The sequence below is a fragment of the Homo sapiens genome, chromosome 5 (genome assembly GCF_000001405.40).
Source record: "Homo sapiens chromosome 5, GRCh38.p14 Primary Assembly".
NCBI lineage: Eukaryota > Metazoa > Chordata > Mammalia > Primates > Hominidae > Homo > Homo sapiens.
The window spans coordinates 66,176,555-66,186,970 of record NC_000005.10 but is presented as its reverse complement, the minus strand read 5'-3'; the positions used below and the strand labels follow the sequence as shown (position 1 = coordinate 66,186,970).

At 35.5% G+C, this 10,416-nt stretch overlaps 1 protein-coding gene across 12 annotated transcripts in view; it reads right to left on the bottom strand.

Moving 5' to 3' along the window:
* Positions 1 to 3,355: 3,355 nt before the first annotated feature.
* The window catches only part of SREK1 (splicing regulatory glutamic acid and lysine rich protein 1), a 39,316-nt gene continuing 32,255 nt past the window's right edge, over positions 3,356 to 10,416 (bottom strand). For 7 of the 12 annotated variants that reach the window (NM_001323527.2, NM_001323534.2, NM_001077199.3 and 4 more), the window contains 2 exons: positions 9,313 to 9,457; positions 3,356 to 8,252 (listed from right to left, as the gene is read on the bottom strand). In NM_001323527.2, coding sequence (NP_001310456.1) covers positions 8,103 to 8,252; positions 9,313 to 9,457 — 295 coding nt within the window. In that variant the 3' untranslated portion in view covers positions 3,356 to 8,102. The remainder of the gene's footprint in view (positions 8,253 to 9,312; positions 9,458 to 10,416) is intronic. The other 5 variants (NM_001270492.2, NM_001323529.2, NM_001323535.2 and 2 more) reach the window with 2 other exon arrangements.

Sequence of the window (10,416 nt, the reverse complement as noted above, 5' to 3'; positions counted from 1 at the left end):
TTTTGTTCTCTTCCCATGAATAACAAATGTTAATGGCATCTGGAATGGTAACTCTTTTCTAGGTTTCCAATGTACTTTGCCCAGATCCATCGGAGGAATCACAATCTATGACAGCTATAGCCTTATGAAATGTATTTCTTAAATAATAAGACTAGAAAGTCAAAATTACTCCTTGATCCACGGGCTACAGAATGAATATCGTTTGTACAGGCATGAAAGCATTAATCTCCTTGTACATCTCCATCAGAGCTCTTGGGCAACCAGGAGATTGTCAAGGAACAGTAATATTCTGAAAGGAATTTGTTTTTTTAGCAATAGGTCTCAAAACTGGATTTAAAATAGTAAATCATGCTGTGAACAGATGTGTTGTTATCTAGACCTTGTTCCGTTTATAAAGCACAGGCAGAATACATTCAGCACAATTCTTAAGGACTCTAGGATTTTCAGAATGATAAATTAGCATTGGCTTCAACCTAAAGTCACCAGCTGCACTACCTCCTAATAGGAGTCAGCCTATGCTTTGAAGCTCTGAAGCCAGGCATTAACTTCTCTCTAGCTACGGAAGTCCCAGGTGGCATCTTCTTCCAATATAAGGCTGTTTCATCTACGTTGAAAATCTGTTGTTTCATGTAGCCACCTTCGACAATGACCTTGGCTTCCAGAAAATCTACTTCTAGATAACTTGCTGCAGCTTCTTACATCAGCACTTGCTGCTTCACCTTACACTTTTGTTAGAGATAGCTTCTTTCCTTTAACCTCATGAATTAACTTCTGCTAGCTTCCAACTTTTCTTCTGCAGCTTCCTCACCTCTCAGCCCTCACAGAATTGAAGAGAGTTGAGGCTTTGCTCTAGATTAGGCTTTGGCTTAAACAAATATTGTGGCTGGTTTGGTCTTCTATCCAGACCACCGAAAACAGCAATAAGGCTGTTTTGCTTTCTTATCATTCATGTGTTCACCAAAGTAGTACTTTTAATTTCCTTCAACTTCTTTAAATTCATAACTTGGCTTTCATGCCTGGCTAACTGCATTGTACAAGAGGCTTAGCTTTCAGCCTATCTGGGCTTTCAACATTCTTTCCTCAGTAAGCTTTATCATTTTTAGCTTTTCAAGTGAGAGACATGAAATTTTGTACTTTCCTTGAAAACTTAGAGGCCATGATAGGGTTATCAATTGGCTTAATTTCGATATTGCTGTTTCAGGGAATAGGAGACCTGAAGAGGGGGAGACAGGAGAACTGCCAGTTAGTGGAGCAGTCAGAACACAAACGTTTCTCTATTACTTTGCTATCTTATATGGGCACGGTTTGTGGAGTCCCAAATCAATTACAATGGTAAGATCAAAGATCAATGACCACAGATCACCGTAAGAAAAAGTTTGAAATACTGCAAGAATTACCAAAACGTGACAGAGCCACCAAGTCAGCACATGCTACTGGAAAAATGGTGTCCACAGACTTGCCAGATGCAGGGTTGTCACAAACTTTTAATTTGTAAAAATACAGTATCTGCAAAGTGCCAGAAGATGAAGTATGCGGCCAGGCCCGGTGGCTCATGCCTTTAATCCCGGTATGAGGCCAACAAGGGTGTATCACCAGAGGTCAGGAGTTCGAGACCAGCCTGGTCAACATGGCGAAACCCCATCTCTACTAAAAATACAAAAATTAGCCCGGCATGGTGGTGCGTGCCTGTAATCCCAGCCAGTCGGGAGGCTGAGGCAGGAGAATTGCTTGAGCCTAAGAGGCAGAGGTTGCAGTGAGCCAAGATTGCACCACTGCACTCCAGCCTGGTCAACAGAGTGAGACTCCATCTCAAAAAAAAAAAAAAAAAGATGTATGCCTGTAATGATGGCAATGTGCAATTAGAAAAATGGTAGTGCTGGTGAAAGACAATAAACAGTAAAGGGATACACTTGGGATTGAAAACTCAATGTTTTATTTGGAATGAGATAAGTTTAGGGTGCTAGTAAGATACCCAGTATTGTAATAGCTGATATTCAGTGAGTTCTTAGTGTCAGATAGTTGAAAAGGTGACTGAAGCTCAGGAGAGAGGGAAACATGGTACTGAAGGTCATGCCTATATAATTGATTCCATTTACCACCTCTCATCAATTGTGGTTATTCCTACATTAAATACGGTAGTATACTTTTTAAAAGAGATACTTTTCTGCAAATCTTAGGATGTTCTTCCCAAGGTAAGAAAATGATAATTATAAAAACTAAATTACTATAATGATACTCCTTAAGTAATTACGATTTGGTAGAAGTCTGCTGTTCAAAGCAGCTCCTACTCTAAGCTGGCATTGCTTTCAAGAAGTCCTGTGGAGAACGCCACACACACAAACCCACTACTGGCAAGGGGTGCATTTTAAAGGCCTCTGCTCTCCCACCCCTACACATGCAGTTTAACACATCTGAAAACCAAAATGGCAGCTGGGCACGGTGGCTCACATCTGTAATCCCAGCACTTTGGGAGGCCAAGGTGGAGGGCTCGCTTGAGGCCAGAAGTTTGAGACCAGACTGGCCAACATGGTAAAACCCCATCTCCACTAAAAATACAAAAATTAGCTGGGCGTGGTGTCGGGCACCTGTAGTTCCAGCTATTCAGGAGGCTGAGGAACGAGAATCGCTTGAGCCTGGAAGGTGGAGGTTGCAGTGAGCCAAGATAGCACCACTGCATTCCAGCCTGGGTGACAGAGTGAGATTCTGTCTCCAAAAAAAAAAAAAAAAAAAAAAAAAAAAAAAAAAAACCAAGAAAACAAAAAAAAAGAAAAGAAAACCAAAATGGCTCATGGCCTTTAGCCACAGAAGGCAGCTAAGATAGATGGCCTATGTAGATAAATCAATATACATAGCCTCAACATCTCTAGGCCAGCTAAGCCAATCAGGTCACGCAGGATTCTAAATTTATCTAACAGGTAATTTTTTTTTTTAGACTAATAGGCTAATAGGCTGTCTTACCTAAGTGACCACCCTGAGCACACAGCTCATTCACCAAATGGAGAGTTACACCTCTTATAAGTGGGAGAAGGCATTCCACCTGTTGTTAAAAGACAAAGTGATAGTTTTCATTGTACAAATATCCTAGCAAGAAGCTGAATTTGTGGCGGCTGGGGAGAAGGGAGATTCAGAGAGCAGCTATCACTTACTTGGATACTGCACAATGTTTAATATGAAAAGCCTTGACTGGAGTTAACTGCCACAAAACACGAAGATTGCCCCGTATGCAAAACCTTCCATTTTTGGTAGTAATCTTGAACCCTGGAAAAGCCTATTATCACCTTTCAGTTATAGAAATAAGATGTAAATATGCAAATAACTGTTCCAGAAATAGGTGAAATTACTACTCAACAGTGGCAAGATTTTAAGATTTTCATTTTATTAAAAATATAGCAACATAATAGCAGCATTGTTTGATAAATCTTTACTAGTACCATTTAAAAGTAGTCCTACTCACAAATAACCACCACCTATGCAGCATGTTTATGTTTACATTCCAAACTCTTCCCTTGATAATCTAACACTGTTCTATTAATCTAATCATTAAGGAGGTAATTTTTTAAGCATTAAGTTGATCTACACAGCTACACAGTATACTCAAATTTCATACTTAAATCTATTGTAGAAATCAGAAATTCTTTAGTTTATTCCCCAACAGTGTGTTACCTACCAGTACCCTCAAAATGGTTGAAATCAACCTATTCTTTCAGTGTGATTTTTATGAATTTATACTTACATATGTAGTTAAGAAATTATGTCTAGCAAATAAAAATAAACCAAGAATAGAAGGTACTACTCCTCCATACCAATCCTGGAAAAATAAAATATAGAGGTAAAATATGTGAAATCTCCCAAAAGTTGGCAATTTTAAAATTAAAATGTTAACTAGATATAAATTTAAAAATCAGGCAACAGACTTAAAACCTTTTATAAACATTATATTAAGAACTGTTATATCTGATATAAGCTAATTGTAACAAACTAATTGCTAGAAACTATAAAAGTACCTTAGAATGGAAGAAAGCTAGTTATTAGTTACTAAATCCAACTGACTGAATATAACCAAAGTCATAAATGGCTTAGCGTTTACTTTTAAAATAACGTATTGCCAGGTGCAGTACCTCACACCTGTAATCTCAGCACTTTAGAAGGCTGAGGCAGACAGATTGTTTGAGCCCAGGAGTTTGAGACCAGTCTAGGCAACATGGCAAGATCCTGTCTCTACAAAAAAAATTCTAAAATTAACTGGGCTTGGTGGCACATGTCTGTGGTCCCAGCTATTCAAGAGGCTGAGGTGAGAGGATCATCCATGCCGAGAAAGGTCAAGATTGCAGTGAGCCATGATCGTGTCACTGCACTCCAGCCTGAGTGACAGAGTGAGACCCTGTCTCAAAAAGAAAAGTAATAATAATAATGTATTACTCTTCAGGCAAAACCACCAATAAGAGTGTACTAAAAACAAACTCACCCACAAACCCAAGATTAAGTAGGGAAGTCAATTTTATTTTAAAATTTTATTACATTTATACTAAACTCCTGCTTCCAGAAATATAATTTAGCTCTTTTAAGAGCACTAGCTTTTAAAATTTGAAAATAAACATCTAATTTTAAGTGAAAATTACATTAGTAAATAAACATGAGAAAATAATATATATGTAGTGAAAATAAAAAATATTTAAACACAAGAAACATGGGCACTGCACATTTACTTTGTGGGAATGGCTCTACTTCGTAACGCACCAGTTGAAATCAGATACTGTCTTCCAATGAAAACGTAAATGATTCACTGAAATTATAAGTTATTCAATGCCATCCCTCCAAAGGGATTCATTTTAATTGTTAATTCAACAATAATTAAATCATGCTCTTTATTTCTAACAGATTAAAAAAAAACTTAAAGGCCTATTACTCTACATTATAATTCTTGAATCTACACAGTATCTTCACTTGAGAAGGGAGTTAGATCAGGGTTCTAAGTTTTAAAATAAAGATAGCAACATAGACATAGGAATGACTGAAGGTCTTGAAAATTATTACTATCACAAAATAAATTCTCTTGACCCCCCCCCCCCCGACAAAAAAACCTTTTCATTATAAACGCCAGTGTTTATTTTTAATTGAGCAGGTCAAAATTTAAGCCTCTGGCACTGCCAAAGATCAACATAGCAGGTACTGAACCTCGTGAAGAAAAGAACTTGAAACACAGAGATCACAAGCTGACTAGTGTTTGCAATTATAAGCTAATTAGATAGAAAATAACTAAGATGATAACTGCAGAACTTCAGGATTTAAAAGTTTTGACACAAAACTTATGCACTAGCTTATGAACTGATGCACCATCTTATGATACTAGTTCAGCATACGTTGCTGAAAGGCAACAGAATTTGTCTACAATGATAAATAGCAACTACAACTTAAGGAAGAGAGGGTACTCTATGTAATCAAGCTACAAAAGATAATTACAGAAAGTATGAAGCATAAAATGTCTGTCTTCTTGGCCTTACCTCAAGTTTATCTGACAACATCTACCTGGGATTTAAAAAAAGAAGTCTTAAAGAAAAAAACAAAATACCCTGAAAGAAAAGAATAAACAAATGAAAACATGAGCTCTTTTAAGTGAACAGAGAAAGTATGTCTCAAACAGATACACACGTGCGCATGCGCACACATGGACACACAAGCACACACACACATCCCTCTAGACCCTAGAATGCCTTGCTTCCATAAGCCCATGTAAAAAAAAAGTCAAACCCTAATAACAATCTGATTTGTTCCTCCAGATCTCTTGTATTCCTACTCATTCTTAGTTTTTACAAATCAGTGTTTCAAGATTATAGTACGATTATTTTAAAGCTTAATAAATATCAGCAGAGAAAATAATTAGCAGCAAGAACCAAATTAAATGTTAATTACCAACATAAAGAAACATGTAATAGGTCCAGAGTACAAGAAAACACTCATACTTTAAATGACTTGTTTTATAGACACCACACAAACATGCACTCTCCACGTCACAACAATCTCTATGACAACTAAAATGAGCAGGATAAAACTAAAATGCTTTTTTGAAATGCATAAACAAACATTTTCCTCTAAAATACTTAGCTTTATTAAAGACATGGTACTAAAAATAACAGATTCCAACATTTGCTCTATTTCTACTTATATATCATAAATAAGACAGCTGTTGATGCAAGACACACTCTTTCACAATCTTTCCATATGCACCCAAGCATTCTTGTATCAGAATAAGCTGTTTACCAGCCAACCGTATGTGGCTGAATGATTAAAATGACCATCTATACTTTACATAGTAAAGCATCTTCCAAAATTTTAATGTACACAGTGACAAAAAGGAAAAACAAACAAAAAAAACAGTAATTCTGAACACATGAAGAGTGATTAAGCAGCTTCATAATCAAATCAGGCTTCATTACTTGCAACAAGGGCAACTCTTTCCATTCCCCACTAAATACTAAAGTTTCAATCTTATTAACATTAAAAGAAAACTCAAGTTGAAACCAAGTAACTAACATGCTATTCAGCTTTTTAGATCTAAAAAAGTAACTCTTCCCATGAGGTAAGGCAACTGAGTAATCTGATTGTATTAGATTGCATTAAAATAATTATACTTAACTTTTAATACACTAATTAAAAGGTATTACTTTTTTGGAAATACAACAATAATGAGTTCAGAAACCACAAGTTATAGTACTGGGGAAAAACATTAGCAGTGCTGTCACTTTACTATTTGCATACTTTCTGTAAAAAGTGAGCCTAAGAATGATGGATGACCTGTATCTTAAACTCAAGTAAACGTATCCTTAAACATAAAACCAATAACCTCCCATATACTCCTAAGTCCTTAAGTACAATTTCTGCACATCATTTATGAAAAGATGATTGAGAGGTAATAAGGCCATCCAATGTAGACAACTAAAGGGTTTTCTTCAATTTAAGGAAAATAAGAACATGTTTCATTTTCAATTATCACAGTATAAAACTGATGGTCCCAAAGCTGCATGACTCTAATGTCATTCTTGAAAACAGGACTTCCTTCTCATTTTAGGTGAAATCAGTAAGAAGCTCTTCTGACATATCACTTACACACTTCTCTATGGGTATGCATGAAATATCCATCTAGATTCCATATGAATTGAGAATGACTAGCACATATAAAATTCTAGAAAACAGTATACCACATTGTAGAAGGCACTAAAGCTTCAGCTTGTGCTCCCATAGCCCATTTTGAAAAGCCAGTTTCCTTTTTTATAAGGGCACCTTTGCCACCTACAGCTGACAAGACACACTGCAATATTATTCATAATAAGCTTGGAAATGTCAAGAAAATTTAAAAAGAAATGCTCACTTTGTGGGTAGTCCCAATGATTCTAAACACTGAATACTAATTCATCATTATTAGTATTCAACACGGTTGCTCTTCCTTTTGAAAGAGAACAGTAGCATGCATTGTCAGTTTTTTAATCCACTTATTTAAGCAATTTTAATCTGCAAAACTATTTTAAAGAAAAATTGTCCTAAACAGTGAGCAAAAGAAAACACAATAGTGAGAATTTAACACAATCACAAGTCCTGTGAAGTAAATGTTAAAACTTCTTACATACTTTGCACTTACAAGGGTGTGTATATATTTGCACCAATTTCAAGCACATCATCAAACTGTATATATTGAAATAAAAAAAAAAGTAAAACAATACAAAATTCAGTAACTAGCATTTTTTAAAAGAGCCTCCAATGCTTATCTCCAGTCTTTAGGGATAGTACAAACTTGGATCTTTGATGTTCAATTTATTTGCAATGGTTCTTGGCAAACACTAACAGACCACATGACAAGTGTGTCAGCCACCATGGAAATGCACAGATTTTAGAAGATGAGTTTGGGTAACATCTGTTATTTTCATGATGTCCATGCTTTATTTTCTTACTCAATAACAAGATGGCCACAAAGTCATCTAACAACTGGAAAAGCTGTTAGATCCTATCTTCATGCTCAACTAGATTTCTTTCCTGTTTACATCTTGTTGAGAGAATTAAAAGCTTTGGATTTGATTCCAGCATTGAGTGCAGAGGTACACTTGTCGGTCCTATACTGCTTCTGTTTTGGTAGAGAGGTTTTCTTCATTCAGCTGACAATTCCCATTGTGCTGTATTTTGTTTTCCTCAGTCCTTGGTGCATCCTTGTCATCTACTTCTTTGCTCACACTTGAATCTGGTTCTTTATTGTGCTCTTTCTCCTACAATGAGTAATTAAGGTATGCATTTAATATTTTCCTCAAGAACTGCCTGCTATGACGACAAAAATGTGAAACTTTATCTTTTGCAAATTTAAAAAACTGGGTATGATTTTCTCTCATTACGTTTTCACACAAAATGAATATGCAAACACTATCAATTTCCCCTTTGTGTTCTCATAAAAGATGGACAATCCATGGAAATTAAATTAGAATTGGTGAACAGAAATTTTAAGCAAGTGCTCAATAAATGTTGCTGACAGACTTGAAAAACGGAGACAGATCTATTGAAAGAGTGAAATAATTTCCAAGGATGCCAGGATAGATTTTTAATCTGCAAACCAATGCAGCAAAAATAAGGAAATGTGGAAAAGGAAGTCACTATGCCTCCTGGAAAAGGCTGTTCAAGAGCACTCCAATTTCTACCCTCAATTTAAAAGAGTTAAATGAGAACAAACAGTGCCCGGCACATCGTAAATGCTTAATAAATGTTATCAATGTTATTGATGATGATGATAATCGTCTATCAGTATTACAGTACATAAAACTATAAGATAGATGTTCCAAAATTCATAATTTCCAAATACAAATATACTTTACCAGTGTAAGTAACTTAATTCACAACTACTTGAAGTATTTATCCAAGTGACAAAAAAGCTCACTTGGTGGAATGTGGTTTTCCATTAGGTATTCTAACCCAACAAACCTAATGTTAACTACACAAAGTCTTTTCAAACTTGCTGAAACATAAATTGAGGAAAATGGCATCAGGCAGAAATCCTATCTACATAAAATCAAATACATTTGTTACTGTTGATTTCTTAAATTTTTCTTATTGCATGCCATGTTAGGATTTAACTTAGTTTTTTTAGTTTTAATTGGCTCTTATCTCTTCAACATTTAGTTTTTTTAAATTACCAATTAAATATTTTAAATATTTTAAAATGCCATAAAATGCCAACAATGTACAAGACACTGTTCCCCAAAGAGCTTTCAGTCTAAAACCATTTGTATGCAATAAAGAACCATTTCAAGTGCCAGACACCGAATGACTGCTGCTTACTTTAAGTGAAGTACTGTTCTTCTCCAACTTCTCCTTCCCATCTCTATCATTAGAACTCTTTCTCATAGACGTTGAACGTTCTCTCTCTCTTCTTTCACTGATGTGGTCCCTTTCTTTTTCTCTCTTTTTATCCTTCTTATTTCTGCTATAAGAATATTGATATGTCAGTTAAATTCTAAGAAATTGTAAGATCTATTATATTCTTGACAAAATATCCTTTTCTAACACTGGATATCTAAAATAATGCATTGTTAATAAGCATCAACAGTAAGCTGGTTTGCAAAGTAACATAAATGAGCCCTACAACCTGACCTACCCCACCCTTACCCCAGTTAGTTTCTTAAGGATACACAAGTCATTTTGGCAGAGGCCACCATATGTTCTCATAAAACACTATTTGGCATAGCCTATTTAATAGTTTTCGAATATTCAATATTTGTTTATGTACTGCAATAAGGAGAAAATAAAACCAAATGAATATGTATCCGCCTCATTTCGCAAAGAGAAACAAAGGAAAGACAATCAAATGATTGGTCAATTACACAGGGTGAATGGGAACAAGGCAGATGGAATGGAGACAGGAGTGACATTTTCTGAATGTATCTTTTTGTCTAATTTCAGTTCATAAGAGAAAAGTTTTGACTTTCCTGGGTAAAGTATTTGTTTCAAAAATACAAACATGGCCTGCATCTATAGTATCCTAAGCCTTCCGTTATTCTCACAAAAGCCAAAAACCTATAAGCAAATAAACAAAAGACCCCTCTGCTGGAAAATCACAGAAAATCACCTAAAAAACCATAACCAATTAGTAAGGCAGTGGGATTAAAAAAATAAATATACAGAAATCAATAACTTTCCTATGTACAAACCTAACCTCCAATTAAACATAATGAAAGAAAATACCTCATTTCCAACAGCAACAACAACAAAAATTTCTAGGAATTAAGAAATGCATAAAGCCTGTATGAAACAAACGATGAAATATTTCTGAAAACACTAATGATGGCCTAATAAGATATACCACATTCCTTGTCTACAGCCATATCACCCTGAGCATGCCCGATCTCATCAGATACACCATATTCCTGGACAGACGACTTGTCA